At 43.4% G+C, this 24,700-nt stretch overlaps 1 long non-coding RNA gene across 2 annotated transcripts in view, besides 2 other annotated features; it reads right to left on the bottom strand.

The window, feature by feature from the left end:
* LOC105378258 (uncharacterized) overlaps positions 1 to 24,700 on the bottom strand; it is a 33,706-nt gene that overhangs the window by 897 nt on the left and 8,109 nt on the right. The window contains exons 2-3 of one of the 2 annotated variants that reach the window (XR_007063492.1): positions 12,618 to 12,830; positions 9,151 to 9,305 (exon numbers count right to left, since the gene is read on the bottom strand). This is a non-coding gene — a long non-coding RNA (uncharacterized LOC105378258). Of the gene's footprint in view, positions 1 to 8,672; positions 9,306 to 12,617; positions 12,831 to 24,700 lie in introns of those variants that run through there. The other variant, XR_945451.4, reaches the window with a different exon arrangement.
* Positions 26 to 195: an enhancer, noted in NCBI's record as "active region_7155". NCBI's record gives its function as "activates an Ori minimal core promoter by ATAC-STARR-seq in GM12878 lymphoblastoid cells {active_cell/tissue: GM12878}" and the evidence as "EXISTENCE:reporter gene assay evidence [ECO:0000049][PMID:35858748]".
* Positions 216 to 395: an enhancer, noted in NCBI's record as "active region_7156". NCBI's record gives its function as "activates an Ori minimal core promoter by ATAC-STARR-seq in GM12878 lymphoblastoid cells {active_cell/tissue: GM12878}" and the evidence as "EXISTENCE:reporter gene assay evidence [ECO:0000049][PMID:35858748]".

A 24,700-nucleotide genomic window follows, 5' to 3' on the forward strand; every position in this document is an offset into this window, starting at 1 on the left:
TCTGCTGGGCTGCCTTAGTTCAGCAGCCATCTCTCCTGCCGGCTGAGAATGGAAACTGAAACTGAACTTTGTTTTGTTTGTTTGGGTTTTTTTGTTTTGTTTTGTTTTGTTTTAATTGGAAACAGAAAATTTGCTGAGCTTTGAAAGAGGAATTTTCTCTTTCCATTTGAGGTTGCCAGGAAAAAAGGCTGGAGATGGAGCCAAGTGCCCCTTGGGCTTCCTTGAGAGGAAGGTTCTCAGGCTGGGAGTTTCCCAGGGTGTCCTGGAGCTGGGCTGCCCCCACCTCTCCATCCCCTATTTCCTGCTGCAGGAGCAGACCTTGTCTCCCTACGGGAACTCAGTAGTGTCTGCCCCGGAATCAGAAGGTGCTGGCTCCTTGGGGTGAGGGGATGGGGGCTTGGGCTGAGCCCCGGGAGTCCTGGGGCCTGGGATTGACTCTTTATTTTCTAAAAGCAAAGACATACTCACCCCTTTACTACTTGTTTTGTTGCGTATATTTAGGTCTCCCCTATCCCCTCACCAATAATCCACAGGAAGGAGGTAATCTTTTAAAAAATTGTCTTTAGGGGGCGCTGTTCTCTCAAGAACTTCATTTTGAAGAGCAAACTGACAGTTTGTGGTAGACACATTGGCTTTTAAAGATCTCAACTAGCGACCAGGCGCGGTGGCTCTCGCCTGTAATCCAGCACTTTGGGAGGCCGAGGCGGGAGGATCGCTTGAGGCCAGGAGTTTGAGACCAGCCTGGCTAACATGATGAAACCTCGTCTCTACTAAAAATACAAAAAAATTAGCCAGGCGTGGTGGCAGGCGCCTGTAATCCCAGCTACTTGGGAGGCTGAGGCAGGAAAATCACTTGACCCCAGAGGCGGAGGTTGCAGTGAGCCGAGATGGCATCACTGCACTCCAGCCAGACTGTCTCAAAAAAAAAAAAAAAAAAAAAAAAAAAAAAAAAAAAGGAAAGAAAGTAAATCCCACATTGATACTGTGGAGGCCATAAGTATGCACCTATAGGATGCATTTTAAAAATGCCCTAACAACGCATAAATATGTCACTGAGGTTTGTTAAGAATGTCCAGATTTCCAGCCTGGGCAGCATAGTAAAACTCCATCTCTACAAAATATACAAAAAAATTAGCCGGGCATGTGGCATGTGCCCGTAGCTACTAGGGAGGCTGAAGTGGGAGGATCACCTGAGCCTGGGAAGTCGAGGCTGCAGTGAGCTGTGATCAAACCACTGCACTCCAGCCTGGGCAACAGAATGAGACCCTGTCTAAAAAAAATTAAAAATAAAAATGTCCAGATTCATGACAGCCTGTCTCTCACTCTGCTTAACAGAGTAAAAAATACTGAGCCCTGAAACACAGGCTTAGAAGATTCAAAAATTGCCTTGGAGAGGGAAAACCACTAAGTGGGAGATGCCTGTGAAGAGCTTGAGTTACAAAATCTTTTTGAAAACTGAAAGTGGAAAAGAGTAATATTTGTATATTACCCCATAACATATACAAATGTATAGCTGTATCTAAATAAATTAACGAAATATTGGAAGTGCATATTTGATTTCCCTTAAGCTTATGTAATTAGGGCTATGCCAACATATTTTTATTTTTCATTTATTTTTATGTTTTTCCCCATTGATCCATGTGATTCTCAAACACATTTTTATTTTCTCCCTGGCAAATATTTGTTATTAGTCCATTGGAAAAATTGATTGGATTTGGGGATCACCTTGCATTAGGGCATTTTTGGTATATGTACTCATATTTTAAAAACTGTGAATTCCAATATATATTCTTAATAGGAAACTGCGACATTTTTGTCAATTTTCCTCTCTTCCACAAGATGATGCTCCACACCCACCTAAAACAATCACCATTTGTAGTTCCTAGGATCCTAGTACAGAAGAGACAGAGGGGATCTGCTTAATCCTTGTTTTTCAGAAGGCAGACAGGAGCCCAGAGTGTTTACCAGGGCTCTTTGACATTATGGTATTGATATTAACTCCAATAGCTATACTTATCAAGCACTTCGTGTATACCAGGCTCTCTACACAGTTTATTTTATTCTTTATTTTTTTTGAGATGGGATCTGGCTCTGTCACCCAGGCTGGAGTGCGTGGCATGATCTGGGCTCACTGCAACCTCACCTCCCAGGCTCAAGTGATTCTCCCACCTCAGCCTCCTGAGTAGCTGAGACTACAAGTATGCATCACTGAGCCTGGCTAATTTTTGTACTTTTTTTTTTTGTAGAGATGGGGTTTTGCTATGCTGCCCAGGCTGGTCTCAAACTCCTGGGCTCCAGTGATCCGCCTGCCTTGACCTCCCAAAGTGCTGGGATTAGAGTCGCGAGCCTCCACACCCAGCCTCTTTTCACAGTTTAGTTCCCATAATCCCCACAAGACTCTGTGATGCAGGTTCACACCATGTTACATTATGAAGAAATCGAGTCTCAGCAAGATGATGTGGCCTGCCCAGAGTCACACACCAAAGAAGTGGACAAGCTGTGATTCAAACCCAGGTTCTCTGATTCTAAATGCCAGAGGTTTACCCACGACATTATCTTACTGCCCAAGGCACTTATTATTTATTGAGCTCCTACTACGTGCTGGGCACTGGGCGAGGCTTGGAGAATACATAAATGAATAAGGCAGCCCCATTCTACGGGCAGTTTGTTATGTGTCTTCTCTACTGGGAATCTTCAGCGTGAGAAGCACGTGGTCCCAGGGTCTAGCACATTTCTTGGCACACAATGGGGCCTCAGTTAATGTTGGCTGAATAAATGAATGAATGACACCATGTTTCCTAGGAAGCAAAAGCACTTCAATCTTGTGACTATTTTTTAGTCCATAAAACGGATAGATGGTGGAGGACAGAGAACTTCCTGGTGACCTTCTGCTTGCTTCGTCAAGGCATCTATCAAGGGTCCCCATCTTTGAGTATGGTGGCTCAACCACAGTGGACCATCCCAAAGGTCCTCTCTGGTTCTGCATTGCAGACACTCTGTGCATGGTGGTGCGGGACCTCCTTCCTGGAGGTGCTTGCTTCTTCATTTACCCCAGTGTTTCTTAACATTTTGAAGTCTTGTGAGCACCAGAGAAAATGATGAATGCAAGGGGCCCTCCCTCTAAAAAACATGTTAATGCTAATATTTTGCATGCAATTTCAGGGGCTTCCTGGACCCCAAGTTAAGAATCTCTGCTATGGGGCCGGACACGATGGCTCATGTCTGTAATCCCAGCACTTTGGGAGGTTGAGGCGGGTGGATCACTTGAGGTCAGGAGTTTGAGACCAGCCTGGCCAATATGGTGAAACCCCATCTCTACTAAAAATACAAAAGAATTAGTCAGGCGTGGTGGTGGGCGCCTGTAATCCAAGCTGCTCGGGAGGCTGAGGCAGGAGAATCGCTTGAACTGGGGAGGCAGAGGTTGCGGTGAGCCAAGATCGTGCCACTGCACTTCAGCCTGGGCGTCAGACTCTGTCTCAAAAAAATAAAAAAAGAATCTCTGGGCCGGGCGCGGTGGCTCACGCCTGTAATCCCAGCACTTTGGGAGGCCGAGGCGGGTGGATCATGAGGTCAGGAGATCGAGACCATCCTGGTTAACAAGGTGAAACCCCGTCTCTACTAAAAATACAAAAAATTAGCCGGGCGCGGTGGCGGGCGCCTGTAGTCCCAGCTACTCGGGAGGCTGAGGCAGGAGAATGGCGTGAACCCGGGAAGCGGAGCTTGCAGTGAGCCGAGATTGCGCCACTGCAGTCCGCAGTCCGGCCTGGGCGACAGAGCGAGACTCCGTCTCAAAAAAAAAAAAAAAAAAAAAGAATCTCTGCTGTGGAAGATGCTTTTTTTTATTTTTCAAAATTTTTATTAGAGATGGAGGGGCGTCTCGCTATGTTGCCCAGGCTGGAGTCAAATTCCTGGGCTCAAAGGATCTTCCTGCTTCATTCAGCCTCCTGAATAGCTGGGATTACAGTGCATGCCACCATGCTTGGCTTCTCCTGTGGAAGATTCTTGAGGACCAAAAGACATCCTAAACAAGAGTCACATCTCAAACCTTTTTATTGAATTCCTGTTTTTTGTGCATCATGCTGGGTGCTAAGGGATAGTGTAGGGAAAATCTCCAGCCTTCATATCAGTCAGAAGGGAGCCCTGGGGCAGCAGGGCATCTAGTCATCAGCCTCTCAGCTCTCAAGTCACATGTGGGACTGGGATCCGGGTGTTTCCCACCTCCCCAGTAAGCCTGCAACTTTTTCTTCCATCTGGCTCCCATTTTAGAGCCTTGCATATGTTTCTTCAAGGGAAGCCTGGATAATCCTGAATTGCCTCTAATAACCACATTCTTTTTTTTTTTAATTTTTTTTTTTTTTTTTTTTTTTGAGACAGAGTCTCGCTCTCGTTGCCCAGGCTGGAGTGCGGTGGTGGGATCTTAGCTCACTGCAACCTCTGCCTCCTGGGTTCAAATGATTCTCCTGCCCCAGACTCCTGAGCAGCTGGGATTACAGGCACAAGCCACCGCCCCTGGCTAATTTTTGTATTTTTTGTAGAGACAGGGTTTCGCCATGTTGACCAGGCTGGTCTTGAACTCCTGACCTCAGGTGATCCGCCTGCCTCGGACTCCCAAAGTACTGGGATTGCAGGTGTGAGCCACCGCGTCCGGCTGTAACCACATTCTTTAATTCTTGTTTCCAACAGGTATTCCCAGGAAGAACAAAAAGCGGTTCCACTCAGGGTTCTAAGTTCGAAGTTGCCCTCATCTCAACCATCATCAACAAAACGCCAGAATGATTTTCTTCTTCTTTTCGTTAATGGTAAAAATAAGATTTTGCCATTTGTTGGGAGCATACGTATTGAGCACGTTTGGGGAGCTTGTGACTCTGGGTCACAAAATAAGACTGGGTTTTTGGAAATGTGGGTGGATAAGGTGGAGTGAGAGGGGCGGGATAAGCTCATGGCTGGCTGCAAAAGCCTATCCAGGGTTTGTGGAGCTTCTAAAATTTTCTAGATCCCTTTAAAGAAAAATGACATAAAATAGTGAATAAAAATTTCAGCTCAAAAGTGATGTTGTTTCTGACCTATTTTCCTTGTCTCTGAACAAGTTTTTTTTTTTTTGGTTTTTTTTTTTAAATAACATTTCTTACAAGATAGATCTACTGGCTATAAATTACTGATGAATTTTGCCTCAATGCAATTCTCCATTTCCCTCATTCTTTCTGCATTTATGAAATGGAAATCTATATTCTTCCAAAATGCCCCACCATTTTTTGCTTACCTGAAAGTTCTTTATTTCTCTTTCACTTTTGAAGGATAATTTTGATAGGTACAGAATTCTAGGTGTGGGGGCTTTTTCTTTCAACACTAGGTATTTTACTCCACTCTCTTCCTTCTTATGTGGTTCCTGACAAGAAGTTCAACGTAATTCTTTTTTTTTTTTTTTCCCCTGAGACAGGGTTTCACTCTGGTGCCCAAGCTGGAGCACAGTGCCTTAATCTTGACTTACTGTAGCCTCAACCTCCCAGGCTCAAGTGAGCCTTCTGCCTCAGCCTCCCGAGTAGCTGGAACCACAGGCAAACACTGGCAAGCCTTGCTAATATTTCATATTTTTTGTAGAGATGGGGTTTCTCTATGTTGCCCAGGCTGGTCTCAAACTCCTGAGCTCAAGCAGTCCTACTGCCTTGGCCTCCAAAGTGCTGGGATTATAAGTGTGAACCACTGCACCCTGCCCAGTGTAATTCTTATACTAGTGCCTCTATGAGTAGTATGTATATTTTCCTTTGGCTTCTTTCAAAGTTTTTTTTTTTTCTTTTTCTTTTTTTTTTCGAGATGGAGTCTTGCTCTGTTGCCCAGGCTGGAGTGCAGTGGCGTGATCTTGGCTCACTGCAAGCTCTGTCTCCTGGGTTTAAGCAATTCTCCTGCTTCAGCCTCCTGAGTAGCTGGGACTACAGGCACCCATCACCTCGCCCAGCTAATTTTTGTATTTTTAGTAGAGACTGTTTCACCATGTTGGCCAGGCTGGTCTCGAACTCCTGACTTCAAGTGATCAGCCCACCTTGGCCTCCCAAAGCGCTGAGATTACAGGCCTGAGCCACTGTGCCCGGCTTCTTTCAAAGTTTTTATCTTTGATTTTACAAAATTTGAATATGATATGATGAGATATTGACTTCTTTGTATTTATCCTGTTTGGTGTTCTGAGATTCCTGGATCTATGGCTTGGTGTCTGTCAATAATTTTGGTGAGTTATCAGCCATTATTAGTTAAAATATTTCTTCTGCTTCTTTCATTTTTCTCCTTTTAGAATTCCCTTTACGAAGATGTTATACCTTTTGTAATTGTCCCGCCATTTTTTGATATTTTTTTCTGTTTTCCTCAGTCTTTTTTTCTCTTGCTTTTCAGTTTGGGAAGTTCTATTGACATTTTCTCAGGTTCACGGATTTCTTCATCAACCACGTGCAGTCCACTGACGGGTCCATCAAAGGCCTTCTCCGTTTCTGTTACGGCATTTTTTATTTCTAGCATTCCCTTTTGATTCTTAGAGTTTTCACTTCTCTACTTACATCCCATTGGTTCTTGAATCTCATCCACTTTTTCCATTAGAGCCTTTAGCATATTAATCATAGTTATCAGTCTGATAATCATCAAATCTCTGTATATTGCAGTCTGGCTCTGATGCATGCTCTGTCTCTTCATACTGTGGTTTTTGCCCTTTAATATGCTTTGAACATTTTAGGATGAAGATGAGAGAGTTGTTATGTTTCAAAGAAAATAGGTACTGGTTGGGCGCGGTGGCTGACGCCTATAATCCCAGCACTTTGGGAGGCCGAGGTAGGTGGATCACCTGAGGTCAGGAGTTTGAGACCAGCCTGGCCGACACAGTGAAACCCCTTCTCTACTAAATATACAAAAAATTAGCTGGGCGTGGTGGCATGCACCTGTAATCTGAGCTACTTAGGAGGCTGAGGCAGGAGAATGGCTTGAACCCGGGAGATGGAGGTTGCAGTGAGCCGAAGTGGTGCCATTGCACTCCAGCCTGGGCAACAAGAGCCAAACTCCGTTTGGAAAAAAGAGTCTTCTCGTTATTTATCAGTTTGGGACAGGTGCTGAGGAGCGGCCAAGCACTGAAAGAATTTTACTGGCTGTCCCAAGTGGTGTCCCCGAGCTCTCAAAATCTACGAGCTGTCCGAAAGCATTTGGGCTTTCTAAGTGGGTTTCACATAATGACTATGATAAACCTGTGGTATTTATGCACTAATACCTGTGCTGGGCTATGTGCCCACTGACACCAGCATATATTGTGGATAGTGTGTAGGAACTCTATAGGCTCAGATAATTCCAGACGTGTCAATACATACAGATGATGGAACTCTTTTGCACAGTGACTGGTGGTCCCACAGCTGAGTGATGATGGTGCATCCGTTGCTCAGAGCCTCGGCGCTGGAGCCACATGCTTGGGTTCCCATCTTGGCTCTTTTACTTAGGAGCTCATAAACTTGATCACATTCATCTCTGTCTCTTTTTCTCCAACCGGTGAAAGGTGAGAGTAAGCCACGCCATACGTATGTGGTGACTTCTGAATTGTTCAATGTGTATAATGTTATCAGTGCAAATGCTCATGAAGCTTAATTATCAGTGAAATGCCTTGCTTTAGATTGCACGACTTAACAAGCTCAAAGATTCATGCAAGCCCGGGATTCCGAACTCCCAAGCCATTGTTCTTTCTATGACATCTTCCTGCTTGGTCTACAACCAACCACTTTATCCAAATTCATACTCAATTTTGAAATACTCAGATAAAGCTTTCAAAAATGCTGTCTGTGTCTGGCTGAGTGCACACTCAATGGCCACTCCACATAAAAGGGCACATTAGGAGGCCTGGCACGGTGGCTTATGCCTGTAATCCCAGCACTTTGGGATGCCAAGGCAGGTGGATCACCTGAGGTCAAGAGTTCGAGACCAGCCTGGTTAATATGGGGAAACCCTGTCACTACTAAAAATACAAAAAAAAATTTTTTAAAGGGCACTATGGTCCTCCAGAGTGGTCCAGTTGCTTGAGTCATGGTCAACAGATGAGCTGTGCGAATGAGATGAATACCAGTGTCCTGGGTGGAGCCGCTTATCTACTGACAAGTCTGCTGTGCTAAAAGTGGTGAAAAATATCATCTTGCCTTATTTATTCCTAGCAAATGTAAGTGCCTCTAACCTTAGATTGCTTCCGAGTCATGGAACCAACAGTATCTTAGCATCAACTCCGGGTGATGGGTTAGGGGAACAAGTCACACAATATATCAAAACAATATAAACAGTTTTTCAGAGCTGCAGCTCTATATGCAAACTTGTACAATTATCACCTTATTATTTTTAAATTTATCTTTATATATATATCCATATGACTTACTTGTTTCTTGGTGTGAATAAATCTGTATATTCTTGGTTAATAGTGTCTACCGATTCATTTCATGTCCCTATCTTTATTCAATATGGGCTACTCTTTGGATGAGAAAAAAATGATTGTACTTGAGTATATTTACCTTTGGAAAGGTAAGTAGGTTGGGTGATTGACTGTAGTTGATACCTCTATGATTCTGCATAAACTCATTTATAAAATAAACTCAAATCATAAAATAAATAATAAAAAATAAAAGTGGATCTTGTTTTACACACGAACACATAGACAATACACATTCTTATTATCTCTTTTTTAAAAAGTTGATTTATGGATATAAATGACATATCCCAAGTTTACTAAACTAAATAAACATTTCATCAAGAGGAAATACATATTAAAAGCAAAGATAGGTAAACTTGATTGCGTGAAAAGCCACAAAGACATCTGCATCTTTCTAGGTTTGCTCCAAATTTTTGAAATTAATTATTTTAGTAGCTACTTAATTAGGTAAAAAAACTGCATTACAACAAACTTTGCCATATTTTCCCCAGGAGTATACCTAATTGGGCAGTTTGAGGGGTACAGGATGTAATAGGAAATAGCACATGTTCTTTAAAGGAAAAATTCAAAGGGAACCTGCTTGACGCTAGAATCAAATATATAAATTAAGGAATAAAATAGATCCCCAAAACACATTTATAACCGCATACGAAAAATACAGAGGATAATTTTTAAATACATTTAAGAGGACAGCATTCAACAGGCCAGTGTGAACATACCTCTAATGCAGGAACTCAGGTTTCCCATAAGAAATACCAAAATCTGGCCGGCACGGTGCAGAGTGAGACTCTGTCTCCACCACGCCCGGCCAGAGGTTCCATTCTTGAAATTCCATCACCAGATATTTCTATCATTCCTAAGTGATCTAATATTTCTAGAAGCAATAAGCAAACTGTTCAGAATTAGATAAAAGACAGCATAAATAGATATTCAGTTATAAAAATCATATTTCTCTAAAAGTTATATTTCTAAAAGTCATATTTCCCTAAAAAGTCATATTTCTACCATTCCTGAGAGATCTAATATTTCTAGAACCTATAAACAAACTGTTTGGAATTAGATAAAAGATAGCATTAGTTGATATTAAATAAAAATCGTATTTTTTTTACTTTTTAAAATATATTTTTTATTAAAAATAAAAAATAGTATTTAATATTTTAATTAAATAAAAATCATATTTCTCTAACAATATAATTATCAAAGTTAATTTTTCCACTTATCTCTATATATTACTATGCATTTAGTTATCTCCCAATCTTTGTGAATTCATAGACGAATTTATCTATCATTGTGTATGTAAACGGCTGGCTATTCACTGAGTCTTTAGGGGAAAAAAGTCACTATGTTTTCACCAGTGCATCTCCTGAGGGGGTGAACAGTTTGGGGGAATACATATATTTTTCTTTTTTTGAGACAGGGTCTTGCTCTGTCACCCAGGCTTGAGTGCGGTTGTGTGATCACGGCTCACTGCAGCCTTGACCTCCCAGGCTCAGGTGATCCTCCCACCTCAGCCTCTCATGTAGCTGGGATGTACTAGGCAAGTGCCAGGAGTGGTGGCTCACACTTGTAATCCCAGCACTTTGGGAGGCCAAGGCAGGTGGATTGCTTGAGCCCAGGGTTTCGAGACCAGCTTGGGCAATAGGGTGAAACCTCATCTCTACAAAAAATACAAAGAGTAGCTGGGCCTGGTAGTGCACACCTGTAGTCCCAGCTACTCAGGAGGCTGAGGGGGTAGGATTACTTGAGCCTAGGAGTTTGAGGCTGCAGTGAGCCATGAGTGCACCACTGCACTCCAGCATGGGCAACAGAACGTGATCCTGTCTCAAAAAGAAAAAGAAAAGGCCGGGTGTGGTGGCTCACGCCTGTAATTCCAGCACTTTGGGAGGCCGAGGTGGGCGGATCATGACATCAGGAGATCGGGACCATCCTGGCTAACATGGTGAAACCCCGTCTCTACTACAAATACAAAAAATTAGCCTGGCGTGGTGGCACGCACCTGTAGTCCCAGCTACTTGGGAGGCTGAGGCAGGAGAATAGCATGAACCTGGGAGGTGGAGCTTGCAGTGAGCTGAGATCGCGCCACTGCACTCCAGCCTGGGCAACAGAGCGAGACTCCATCTAAAAAAAAAAAAAAAAAAAAGAGGGAGAACACAACTAAGCAAAAGGCCCCCTAACAACCTCAACTGAATGTGGGATGTTGCCTAGAGGAACCAGACTAACCAGATCATGTTATTCAATATAATATTTTAGGGAAATTATCCCTAAATTGAGAACTTCTTCTATTTTTAGGTTTAATTTCATATATTTGACTCAATCATGTGAACACCACTGCAAGAGGAGTTTTTTTTGTTTTTTGTTTTTTTGAGATGGAATTTTGCTCTTGTTGCCCAGGCTGGAGTGCAATGGAGCAATCTTGGCTCACCGCATCCTCCACCTCCTGGGTTCAAGCGATTCTCCTGCCTCAGCCTCCAGAGTAGCTGGAATTATGGGTATGCACTACCACACCTGGCTAATTTTGCATTTTTAGCAGAAACGGGATTTCTCCATTTTGGTCAGGCTGGTTTTGAACTCCTGACCTCAGGTGATCCACCTGCCTCGGCCTCCCAAAGTGCTGGGATTACAGGTGTGAGCCACCACGCCCAGACAAGAGGAGTTTTGAGGTACAATTTACACTGAATTGTGATGATTACAAACTTCCAAGGATAACTAGTCATACATTATGGTCCTAGGATCTTTTTAAAAATGTGATTCAGTAGATAACTTTAGAGAAAACAGCAAATGAAAGACCTCCAAGAATTCTCTCCTCCAAAAAAATCAATGAGAAAACTGGCAAAAATTATCACCACTAATATTTTTAGACCTCTAGAAATTAGCCAAAAGCTTGCAGTAATCCAGAGGGTGTTGATTAAAAACCAAGCAGAATCTCAATAAGAGCAGTGAGTTTTGTGGCAGTTTAATTTTCTCTAGTCCTATTTCCTACTCTGTAGTTCCATGGTAACCCAGAAAATTAAGGCCCACATTTGCCGTGACCAGCAACCTGCCAGCCACTGCAGGGAGCAGAATAGGACTGGAGCTCCCTCAAAGCCTCATTCCCAGAGAATTATCACTATTTGAAGTCATATTTGAAGTCTGTATAAGACTCCACCTTGTTAGACTGTATTTGACCTGACTTGAAATTTGTCCAAGGCAAAAAAAAGCCTTTTCTGTGGCACAACTATCAAAAACAATGAGAGGCAATTGTTTAACTTTGTGGCTGCTTGAAGTGGTGGATTACAGTTGGGGCAAACAATAGACTAACTAAAAAGCTTAAAAGAAAAGCTGGGAAGTTAGATGACCATATGGCTTGTGAAAAGTTCTGACACATTCCTGGGTATCTAGAAAATGCGCAGGGGTCCCATTCTCCGATAAGAGGAGCTCACTGTGCCTAAAATGCTTTCACAAACACTATGGTTCTTGCCAAAGATATTTTTCTATCTGGGATACTGGAATTTAGGTATGGGCTAGGAAGAGGACACCAAATAACCAGTTCCCGTTAAAAACTGTGGGCACTTAGTCCCTAGTGAGCCTCCCTGGTGGACAATGTTTCATACATGTTGTCGCAACTCGTTGGAGAAATTTTCTGTGCCTGTGTGATTTGTTTGGACAGGATTCTTAGAAGCTTGTGCCTAGTTTCCTCTGGATTTTGCCCCATGCACCTTTTTTCTTGTTTATTTTGCTAGGTGTGCTTTCACCATAAGAAATCACAGCCAGGTGTATGACTATATACTGAGTCCAGTGGTTTATCCTAGAGAATCACTGAACCTGCAGTGCTCTAGGGCCTCTCCAACACAGGCTGATTGATACACTAGAGAAAAAAAGCAACTAATAGATACCATCCATGAGGAAGTCCATGAGGAAGTCCAGGCATTGGATTTACTAGACAAAGATTATATTAGCTGTTTTAAATGTATTCAAAGAATTAAATAAAACTATATATAAAGAATTAAAATATAGTATGACGATTGTGTTTCATCAAATAGAAAATAGTAATAAAGTTATAAATCATAAAAGAGAACTAAATAGAATTTCTGGAATTGAAAACTAAAACTACAACTAAAAATTTATTGGAGGGGTTTGTATTTGTTTCCTAGGGTTGCCAAAACAAATCATCTCAGTGGCTTAAAACAGCATAAAGTTATTTGCTTACATTGCTGGAGGATAGAAGTCCAAAGTTAAAGTGTCAGTTGGGCTGTGCTCTATTTGAAGGCTCTAGGGAATTATCTTTCTTTGCTTCTTTCTAGCTTCAGGTGGTTGCTGGAAATCCTTGGCTTTCCTTGGCTTGCAGCTGCACCACTCCAATCTCTGCCTGTGTCATCACATGACCTTCTTTCCTCTGTGCCTGTGTTCAAATTTCCCTGCTCTTATAAGAGAAACAGTAACTGGATTAGGGCCCACCCTAATACAAGATGACCTCATCTTAATTGATTACATCTGCAAATACCGTATTTCCAAATAAAGCCACATTTATAGGGACTAAGTAAGAGAGCCTTGAACATATCATTTTGGAGAACATGATTCAACCCACAACAGGGCTGAACAGCAGATTTCAGCAGACAAAAAATTCAGTGAATTTGTAGATTGGTCAACTGAGATTATCTAGCCTGATGAATAGTAAGTTAAAAAAAAACAAAAGGAAAGAGCCTCAGAGAACTATGGAACCCTATCAAGCAATACCAATGTATGCATAAAGAGAGTCCCAGAAGGAGATGAGTGAGAGAAAGGAGATACAAGAATATGTGAAGTTATAATAGCCAAAAACTTCTCCAATTTTATGAAAAACACTAATCAAAATATGCAAGAAGTTCAATAAACTCCAAGTAGCATAAACGCACATCTTAATAAATTAATCAAAAGCCAAAGGCAAAGAAAAATCATGAGAGCGATAAGCAAGAAATAAATCATCATGTATAAAGGATCATTGGTAAGATTAACAACTACAAACTTTCAGTTTAAGTTCTAAGCATCTAATGTATAGCATGGTGACTGTAGTTAATTATACTGTATTGTATACTTGAAATTTGCTAAGAGAGCAGATCTTAAGAATTCTCATTTCAAAAAAGTAACCATAATGTGATGAATGTCTTAATGGACTTGATTGTGGTAATCATTTCACAATGCATATGTGTATCAAATCAACAAACTGTATATTTAAAATATAAACAATGCTGTTTGTTAGTTATACCACAATAAAGCTGAAAGGAAGAATCCATGGAGGCCAAAAGGCAGTGGGATGACATATTCAAAGTTCTGAAAGGAAAAATAAATGTCAGCCAAGAATTTTATATCTAGCAGTGGTGTCCTTCAAAAAATGGAGACATTAAAGCATTCCCAGATAGACAACATTTGAGAGAATTCATTGCTGTCAGACTAGCCCCATCAGAACACTAAACAGAGTCCTTCCAGCTGAAATGAAGACAAGAGAGTAATTCAAATCCACATGAAGAAATAAAGAGCACAGGTAAAGTTATGTAAGTAAAAATGAGACAGTATGTCTAAATAAATAAAATGTATGGGGTGGACACGGTGGCTCATGCCTGTAATCCCAGCACTTTGGGAGGCCAAGGTGGGTGGATTGCTTGAGCTCAGGGGTTCGTAACCAGCCTTGGCAACATGGTTTTACCATGTTGAGAGGCTGAGGTGGAAGGATGGCTTGAGCCTGGGAGGCAGAGGTTGCAGTGAACCGAGATCGCAACACTGCACTCCATCCTGGGCAACATAGTGAGACTCTGTCTCAATAAATAAATAAATAAAATGTATGTAGTAAACATGTATAAATAATGTATTTTTCCTGTATCTGTTCTGAAGGACAACTATGTAAAGCAAATATAAATCTATGTTCTTGAGCACACAATGAATAAAGACGTGTTTTGTATGACAATACCAACATACAGAATGGGGCATGGAACATGTATAGGAGAAAAAAGTTTATATGCTATTGAAATTAATTAATCATACTTAAATGTTATAAGTTAAGATGTTAATTGTAGTCTCCAGGGCAACTACTAAAACTACTAAAAAAATTCCAAAAATATATATGACAAAAGAAATGGCATAGGGATTAAATCAGCACAATAGGAAATACCTAACACAAAATAAGATGGTAATGGAGGAATATCAAAAGCAAAAGACATCCCACATATAGAAAAATAGCAAAATAGAATATTTCAATCATGTTAGTATTTTACTAAATCCCCATTGGTAATTAAATCAAATGGAGTTTCATTATACACTTCAGTTAACTGGCAGAGAGTGGTAGAACAGATAAAAAATGTGATCTACCTATATGCTGTCTACAACAGTCAAACTTTAAATTCAAGACACAAAGATGATCAAAGTAATAGAATAGGAAGAAATGCAGCAAGCAAGTATTAACCAAAAGAGAGCCAGAATGGCCTTATTAATATTAGATCAAATAGACTTAGGACAAAATTATTCCTAGAGATGAAGAAGAACATTTTATAAGGATCAAACGGTCCATTATTTGAGGGTATAATAATTACAAAATTGTTATAAAATTATAAATGTATAAATTATAAAATTGCATTTGGCACTTAACAACAGAGCTTCAAAATACATGAAGGAAAACTGACAGAATAGAAAGTTGAAGTAGACACTTCAACAATAATATTTGGAGGAACAGAAAGAAAAAAGATTGCCCTCTCCCTCTCCCTCTCCCTCTCTTTCCACGGCCTCCCTCTCCCTCTCTTTCCACGGTCTCCCCCTGATGCCGAGCCAAAGCTGGACTGTACTGCCGCCATCTCGGCTCACTGAAACCTCCCTGCCTGATTCTCCTGCCTCAGCCTGCCGAGTGCCTGCGATTGCAGGCGCGCGCTGCCACGACTGACTGGTTTTCGTATTTTTTTGGTGGAGACGGGGTTTCGCTGTGTTGGCCGGGCTGGTCTCCAGCTCCTAACCGCGAGTGATCCGCCAGCCTCGGCCTCCCGAGGTGCCGGGATTTGCAGACGGAGTCTGGTTCACTCAGTGCTCAATGGTGCCCAGGCTGGAGTGCAGTGGCGTGATCTCGGCTGGCTACAACCTCCACCTCCCAGCCGCCTGCCTTGGCCTCCCAAAGTGCCGAGATTGCAGCCTCTGCCCGGCCGCCACCCCGTCTGGAAAGTGAGGAGCGTCTCTGCCCGGCCGCCATCCCATCTAGGAAGTGAGGAGCGCCTCTTCCCGGCCGCCATCCCATCTAGGAAGTGAGGAGCGTCTCTGCCCGGGCGCCCATCGTCTGAGATGTGGGGAGCGCCTCTGCCCCGCCGCCCCGTCTGGGATGTGAGGAGCGTCTCTGCCCGGCCGCCCATCGTCTGAGATGTGGGGAGCGCCTCTGCCCCGCCGCCCCATCTGGGATGTGAGGAGCGCCTCTACCCGGCCGCGACCCCATCCGGGAGGTGAGGAGCGTCTCTGCCCGGCCGCCCCGTCTGAGAAGTGAGGAGACCCTCCGCCTGGCAACCGCCCGCCTGAGAAGTGAGGAGCCCCTCCGCCCAGCAGCCACCCCGTCTGAGAAGTGAGGAGCCCCTCCGCCTGGCAGCCACCCCGTCTGGGAAGTGAGAAGGGTCTCCGCCCAGCAGCCACCCCGTCCGGGAGGGAGGTGGGGGGGTCAGCCCCCCACCCGGCCAGCCACCCCGTCTGGGAGGTGAGGGGCGCCTCTGCCCGGCCGCCCCTACTGGGAAGTGAGGAGCCCCTCTGCCCGGCCAGCCACCCCATCCGGGAGGGAGGTGGGGGGTCAGCCCCCCGCCCGGCCAGCCACCCCGTCCGGGAGGGAGGTGGGGGGGGTCAGCCCCCCGCCTGGCCAGCCACCCCATCCGGGAGGTGAGGGGCGCCTCTGCCCGGCCGCCCCTACTGGGAAGTGAGGAGCCCCTCTGCCCAGCCAGCCGCCCCGTCCGGGAAGGAGGTGGGGGGGGGTCAGCCCCCCGCCCGGCCAGCCGCCCCGTCCGGGAGGGAAGTGGGGGGGGTCAGCCCCCCGCCCGGCCAGCCGCCCCGTCCGGGAGGTGAGGGGCACCTCTGCCCGGCCGCCCCTACTGGGAAGTGAGGAGCCCCTCTGCCCGGCCAGCCACCCCATCCGTGAGGGAGGTGGGGGGTCAGCCCCCCACCCGGCCAGCCACCCCGTCCGGGAGGGAGGTGGGGGGTCAGCCCCCCGCCCGGCCAGCCACCCCATCCGGGAGGTGAGGGGCGCCTCTGCCCGGCCGCCCCTACTGGGAAGTGAGGAGCCCCTCTGCCCAGCCAGCTGCCCCGTCCGGGAAGGAGGTGGGGGGGTCAGCCCCCCGCCCGGCCAGCCGCCCCGTCTGGGAGGGAGGTGGGGGGGTCAGCCCCCCGCCCGGCCAGCCGCCCCGTCTGGGAGGGAGGTGGGGGGGGTCAGCCTCCCGCCCGGCCAGCCGCCCCGTCCGGGAGGTGAGGGGCACCTCTGCCCGGCCGCCCCTACTGGGAAGTGAGTAGCCCCTCTGCCCGGCCACCACCCCGTCTGGGAGGTGTACCCAACAACTCATTGAGAACGGGCCATGATGACAATGGCAGTTTTGTGGAATAGAAAGCGGGGAAAGGTGGGGAGAGGATTGAGAAATTGGATGGTTGCTGTGTCTGTGTAGAAAGGGGTAGACATGGGAGACTTTTCGTTTTGCTCTGTACTAAGAAAAATTCTTATCCTGTTGATCTGTGACCTTTCCCCCAACCCTGTGCTCTCTGAAACATGTGCTGTGTCCACTCAGGGTTAAATGGATTAAGGGCGGGGCAAGATGTGCTTTGTTAAACAGATGCTTGAAGGCAGCATGCTCGTTGAGAGTCATCACCACTCCCTAATCTCAAGTACCCAGGGACACAAACACTGCGGAAGGCCGCAGGGCCCTCTGCCTAGGAAAACCAGAGACCTTTGTTCACTTGTTTATCTGCTGACCTTCCCTCCACTATTGTCCTATGACCCTGCCAAATCCCCCTCTGCGAGAAACACCCAAGAATGATCAATAAAAATAAATAAATAAATAAATAAATAAATAAATTTAAAAAAAGAAAAAAGATTGAAGAATAATGAAAAAATAATAATATTTGGAGAATTCAATACCTAACTTTAAATAGTAGATAAAAAATTAGGCAGAAAAGTTCAACAAGGAAGTAGAAGACTTGAACAATACTAGCTAAGGAACCTAATGGGCATCTATAGATTGCTCCATCTGGCAATAGCAAGACACACATTTTTCTCAAGCACACATCAAACACTCCCCAAAATAGACCATATGATAGGCAAGAAAACAAATCTCAATAAATTTAAAGTGATTAAAATCATACAAGTTATGCTTTTGGGCCACAGTGTAATAAAATCAATAATAGGCAGAAATTTAGGAAATTCACAAATATAGGTTAATCAAACAATACCACTTCTATATAGCTTATGGGTCAAAGGCACCATAATAGGAATTCATAAAATACTTTAGATGGATGGATACAATAACGCAAAATATCAAAACTTAAGGAATACGACAAAAGCTGTGCATTGAGAGAAATTTATATCCTATATTAAATGTCTATATTAAATGCATTTAATATAGGAAATGCCTATATTAGAAAACTTGAAATAACTCAAATCGGTAACTTAATCTTCCACCTAAGAAACTGAAAAAAGAAGCACAAGCTAAACCAAAGAAAGCAGAACGAAGGAATAAATAGAGATTATAATGAAAATAAATAAAATGGAGAAAATAAACATAATAGAGAAAATCAATGACCAAAATTTCTTTGAAAATATCAAAAAAATTAACAAACTTTTAGCTAGACTGACCTAGAAAAAAAGAAGACTCAAATTAATACCAACCCTACGAAAACATAAAAAGATTATAATACCATGAACAATTGTATGGCAACAAATGATATAACCTAGATGAAATGAAGAAATATCTAGAAAGGAACAAACCTTGGCCGGGCACGGTGGCTCACGCCTGTAATCCCAGCACTTTGGGAGGCCGCAGTGGGTGGATCATGAGGTCAGGAGATCGAGACCATCCTGGCTAATATGGTGAAACCCCGTCTCTACTAAAAATACAAAAAATTAGCCAGGCATGATGGCAGGCGCCTGTAGTCCCAGCTACTCGGGAGGCTAAGGCAGGAGAATGGCATGAACCCGGTAGGCGCAGCTTGCAGTGAGCCAAGATCACGCCACTGCACTCCAGCCTGGGCGACAGAGCAAGACTCCGTCTCAAAAAAAAAAAAAAAAAAAAAAAAGGAACAAACCAACAAAACTGAAAAAAAAAAAAAAAAAGGAAATCTGAATATACCTATAGCAAGGTATAGATTGAGTTATTAATTTTTTTTAAAAAAAAGTCAAAATCCCCATAAAGAAAAGAAAAGCTCAGGGCACGATTGATTCACTGGTGAATTCTACCAAAAGTTTATAACAGAATTAAATCTTTCACAAACTTCTAAAACATGTAAGAGGAGGGGTCATTTCCCAACAACCCATTCTATAAGGTTAATACCTTGATATCAAAACCAGACAAAGACATTGCAAGAACAGGAAACAACAGACCAATATCTTTAATGAATACAGATGCAAAAAATCCTCAACAAAATACTTGCAAACCGAATGCAACAACAACAACAAAAAAGATGATACACGGGCCGGGCAGGGTGGCTCACGCCTGTAATCCCAGCACTTCGGGAGGCCAAGGCAGGCATATCGCTTGAGCCCAGGAGTTTAAGACCAGCCCGGGTAACATGGTGGAACCTCATCTCTACAAAAAATACAAAAAAAAATTAGCTGGGCGTAGTGGCATACTACTGTAGTCCCAGCTACTTGGGAGGCTGAGGTGGGAAGGTCACCTGAATCTGGGGAGGTCAAGGCTGCAGTGAGCTATGGAGAGCCACTGCACTCCAGCCTGGGCGACAGAGTGAGACCCTGTCTCAAAAAAAAAAAAAGAAAAGAAAAGAAAAGAAAAAGAAAAAAGAGAGAATGATGCATGATGACCAAATGGGATTAATTTTAGGAACGCAAGGTTGGTTCCAAAAATTTGTATCAATCAATGTTAATATACCATATTAATAAAACAAGGTTAAAAATGCATAATCATCTCTTGTGCGCCTGTGTCTTGATCATGGAGCAGCCTCCCCAGGTCTCCTCTGCAAATGGGCTCCGTGGCCCAGTGCCCCTGACCCCACCACCTGTGATCGTGTGCCAAGGCCAGAGAGGGGTCGCCGCCCAGGCCGCCTGGGTTCCACTTCCAGCAGCAGCTCCTGTGGCAATACCAAGTGCCCTGGGGAAGCCATCCCCCACCCACCGGCTTTCCCCAAGGCTGACCCAGGTCACTGGTGGGCCAGCTTATTTTTCGGGAAGTCCACCCTCCTGTTCATGGCCACGGTGTTGGAGTTGGTAGAGCACCCGGAACCCCCCAGGCCTGCAGCAGCATGACCACCTGGGGCCTGGCTCGGGAAACCCCGAGGAAGCAGCCCGGTGGCCGGTCCAGCACAGCCCCATCCTGGACCCCTGTCCTGACCTGAGTGGCCACCACCAGCCCCAGGCCTATGGAGGGACTAGGCCACCAGAGGCCCTGTCTGTCTCCCTCCCAGCTCCTCACCCTGTAGGACTAGGCAGCTGCAGCAAGTTGACTTTCACATCAACACAGCAGACACTGAAAAGGAGTGAGAAAGCCCTGCTCCCTACTGCCCCAGTACTTGTGAGCTCTCTTGATACCTGAAAATGTGCACCTGGCACCAAGTGGAAAATAAACTCCAAGCAACCAGAAAAACAAACAAAAAAAGCATAATCATCTCAATAGACTAAAAAATGATTTGGCAAAATGCAACGCCCTATCATAATAAAAATAGTTGAAAAACTAGGAATAGAAGCTAACTTCCTCAACCTTATAAAGGGCACCTATGAAAAACCCACCACTACTTTATACTTAATGGTAAAAGACTGAAAAATTTCCCCCGATATTAAAAGAAGATAAGGATGTCCACTCTCACCCTACCCCCCGCCCCCCGCCTTTTTTTTTTTTTCTAAGACAGAGTCTTGCTCTTGTCGCCCAGGCTGGAGTGCAATGGCATGATCTCGGCTCACTGCAACCTCCGCCTCCCGAGTTCAAGCGATTCTCCTGCCTCAGCCTCCTGAGTAGCTGGGATTATAGGCACGCGCCACCACACCTGGCTAATTTTGTATTTTTAGCAGAGATGGGGTTTCTCCATGTTGGTCAGACAGGTCTCGAACTCCTAACCTCGGGTGATCTGCCTGCCTCGGCCTCCCAAAGTGCTGAGATTACAGGCGTGAACCACCGCGCCTGGCCAACTCTCATCACTTTTGACCCAACACTGTAATGGAAATTCCAGCTACAACTACTAGGCAAGAAAAAGAAATAAAAAGCATACAAATAGGCAGGGAAGAAATAAAACTGTCCCAATTTGCAGATGACATGACACTGTATAGAAAACCATAAGAAATAAATGAAAAACTATTTGGACTAATAAGCAAGTTCAGCAATATTACAGGATACAAAATCAACAGGTAATAATTTTTCTCACCACAAAAATGATAAGTAATTGAGGTTGTGTATATATCAATTAGCTTGATTTAATTATCCCACATTATATTTGTAAATCACAATATCACTTTGCACCTCATAAATATATACAATTATAAATTGTCAACTTACAATGAAATAAAAAAAATTTCTTGGGCAAGAATTACTGTGTCAAAGGATATGGTGCATTTTAAGGATCTTGATAACTAGCCAACTTGCTTTCCAGAAAGTTTATATGAGTTTATTCTTCCACTTGTCCATAAGAGAAGATTTCGAGGTTCTTTGAACATAATCCTATATTGAGAAATAATAAACCTTTGACAAGGCTTGGAGGCTTGATAAACCAATCAATTGTATTTCTATGAACTTGCAATAAACAATCTGAACTTGAAATTAAGAAAAAATTCCTTTTGCAATAGCATCAGAAATAAATACTTAGAGGCCAGGCACTGTGGTTCATGCCTGTAATCCCAGTACTTTGGGAGGTTGAGGTGGGCGGAAAATTTGAGGTCAGGAGTTTGAGACCAGCCTGGCCAACATGGTAAAACTCTGTCTCTACTAAAAACACAAACATTAGCCAGGAGTGGTGGCACATGCCTGAAGTCCCAGCTACTTGGGAGGCTGAGGTAAGAGAATCTCTTGAACCGGGGAGGCAGAAGTTGCAGTGAGCTGAGATCATGACAAGGCACTCCAGCCTGGGCAACAGAGCAAGACTCCATCTCAAATAAATAAATAAACAAACAAATAAATACATAGAAATGAATTCATCAAAAGAAGTACAAAACTTGTACATTGAGAACTATGAAACATCATTTAAATAAATTTTAAAAGATCTAATAAATGAAAAGACATATGTTCACAGACTGGAGTACTTATACTTAAGATGTTATATTCCCCTAATTCATTGACAGATTCAGCAAATTCCTGTAAGGATTCCAGCTGCCTTGAAACTGACAAGGTGATCCCAAAACTCATAAAGGAATAGAAACCAATGTAGAGAAAATAATCTTAAAAAAGAACAAGGACTCAGACTTCCCAACTTAAAAACTTAATATAAAGGTAGTATAATCAATCTGTGCAGAACTGGTGAAAAGATGGATGTATACATCCATGAAATAGAATTGAGAGTCTGGAAGTAAACCCTCACATTTACTGTCAATTTTTAAAAAGTGTGGCAAGGCCAAAGACAGAATATTCTTTACAACAAATGGTGCCAGGACAATGAGCATCCACATGCAAAGAATGAGGTTGGACAGCTAACTCACACCATACACGAAAGTTAATTTATGCCTGTAATCCCAACACTTTGGGAGGCGAAGGCGGGTAGATCACCTGAGTTCAGGAGTTTTGAGATTAACCTGACCAACATGGTGAAACTCCAACTCCACTGAAAATACAAAAATTAGCCAGGCATGGTGGCACATGCCTGTAATCCCAGCTACTCGGGAGGCTGAGGCAGGAGAATCGCTTGAACCCGGGATGCGGAGGTTGGGATGAACCAAGATCACGCCATTGCACTCCAGCCTGGGAGACACGGCGAAACTCTGTCTCAAAATAATAATAATAATAATAATAATAATTAAAAATGGATTAAAGGCTTAAGACTTTGATAAAACATAAAACAAAAAACATTAAAGAGCTAAACTATATGAATCTCAGAAAAAAAGGGCATAGATCTTCATTTTCTAACATTTGGCAATGAATTCTTACATGTGTCACCGCAAGTACAAGCAACCAGAGGTAAAATAAATAGGACTTCACCAAACTTAAAATCTTTTGTGTTTCAAAGAACACCATCATGAAAGGGATACAAAAACACAGAGTTGAATAAATTATCTGCAATTCATGTATCTGATAAGGTCTATTATCCAGAAGAGATAAAGAACACTAGCAAATCAAAAATAAAATGTCTAACAAATTTTCAAAATTAAAATAGGATTTGCATAGATACTGCCCTAAAGAAGATACACAAATTGGCAATAAATAAATGAAAACATGTTTAAAATCATTAGTTAATAGGGAAATGCCAATCAAAACCCCTGAAATATCACTTCACATCCACTAGCATGGCTATAATTTAAAAAGCAAACACAAGTGTTAGCAATGATTACAGAAATTGGGACCTTCCCACATTGCCTGTGCAAATATAAAAAGGAAAAAAGACTTTGGTGATTCCTCAGACAGTTACTCACAGAGCTACGAATATGGCCTAGCAGTTCCAATGCTAGATATATATCCAGGAGAAATAAAAATCATATGTTCACCAGGCGCGGTGGCTCACACCTGTAATCCCAGCACTTTGGGAGGCCGAGGCGGGCGCATCACCTGAGGTCAGGAGTTCGAGACCAGCCTCAACATGGAGAAACTCCGTCTCTACTAAAAATACAAAATTAGCTGGGTGTGGTGGTGCATGCCTGTAATCCCAGCTACCCAGGAGGCTGAGGCAGGAGAATTGCTTGAACCTGGGAGGTGGAGGTTGTGGTGAGCCGAGATCGCATCATTGCACTCCAGCCTGGGCAACAAGAGTGAAACTCCATCTCAAAAAAAAAAAAAAATCATACGTTTATACAACAACTCGAAGATGGGTGTTCATAGCAGCACTATTGATAGTAGCCAAAAAATGAAAATAACGCATCTGTCCATCACTGATAAATGGAAAAACGAAACGAGTTATGCTCACACAATGGATGGTATTCCACCATAAACAGGTAAGGTCCAGGTATGGCCACAACACAGGTGAACGTGAATACTTTCTGCCTACTGAAGAAGCCAGGACATAGAAGACAGCCCATTGTATGATTCTATGTATATGAAATACACAGAATACAAAAATTCGCAGACAGAAAGCAGATTAGAGGCTGGCAGGGCAGGGTGTGTGGAGAGAATGGGGTTGGCTGACATGGGCAAGGGGTTTCTCTTTGGAGTGGTGAAGTACTAGAATTAGGTAGTGGGGACGATGGCAAAACCAGAATATACTAAAAACCACTGAATTGTATCCTTCAAAAAGGTGCATTTATGGAATGTGAATTATATTTCATTATATATCAATACAAAAGAATATGACAACAATTTATTTTGTTTCTAAATATGATGCACTAAACTGCAACAATTGCTAGTGAATAAATTCAATGATTAAATTCCCGCAGGCACTTCAGTGGAGGGGGTGGTACAGGATGATATTTGAGGCTTAACCTCGTTCTTTAGCCAGATCCGGTTTTGATGCTGCTGAACAGCTGTGGGGCCAGGGGGTACATTTTCTTCCCCAAGAATCCATCCCCATGTACATCCTTTATTGGAATCCATTATCTTCTTATCACTAACTGTCCAGTGGGGCATTTGAATGAAAGTGGAGTTAGGAAGAGGGATCCTGCAGTGTGGTGTGCCTAAAATACCCCACAGAGGGATTGTGTGGGAACAGTGGCTTTCTTTAGATAACAGTGTAGAAAGTCAGCACAACACAGTGACCAGAGCATGGGTGCTGGTGCCTGATGGCTTGAGATCAAAGCCACGTGTGCCTGGGACTGTCACTCAGTCCCTTTGTCCTCAGCTCTCTGTTCTGGGGTGAGAACATGTTACTAGGGCTTGCGTAGTACTACCATGTTATAAGGGCTAAAGGTAAACACAGACACAGCCTAGAGAAAAATGACGGGTACTTCATAAGCACTGCCTACCTAAGTGTTCAATGATTACACATCTGGAAAAATAAAAAAGACAAGCAGCATTGGTGACCCCC

The sequence above is a fragment of the Homo sapiens genome, chromosome 12, assembly GCF_000001405.40.
Source record: "Homo sapiens chromosome 12, GRCh38.p14 Primary Assembly".
Taxonomy (NCBI): domain Eukaryota; kingdom Metazoa; phylum Chordata; class Mammalia; order Primates; family Hominidae; genus Homo; species Homo sapiens.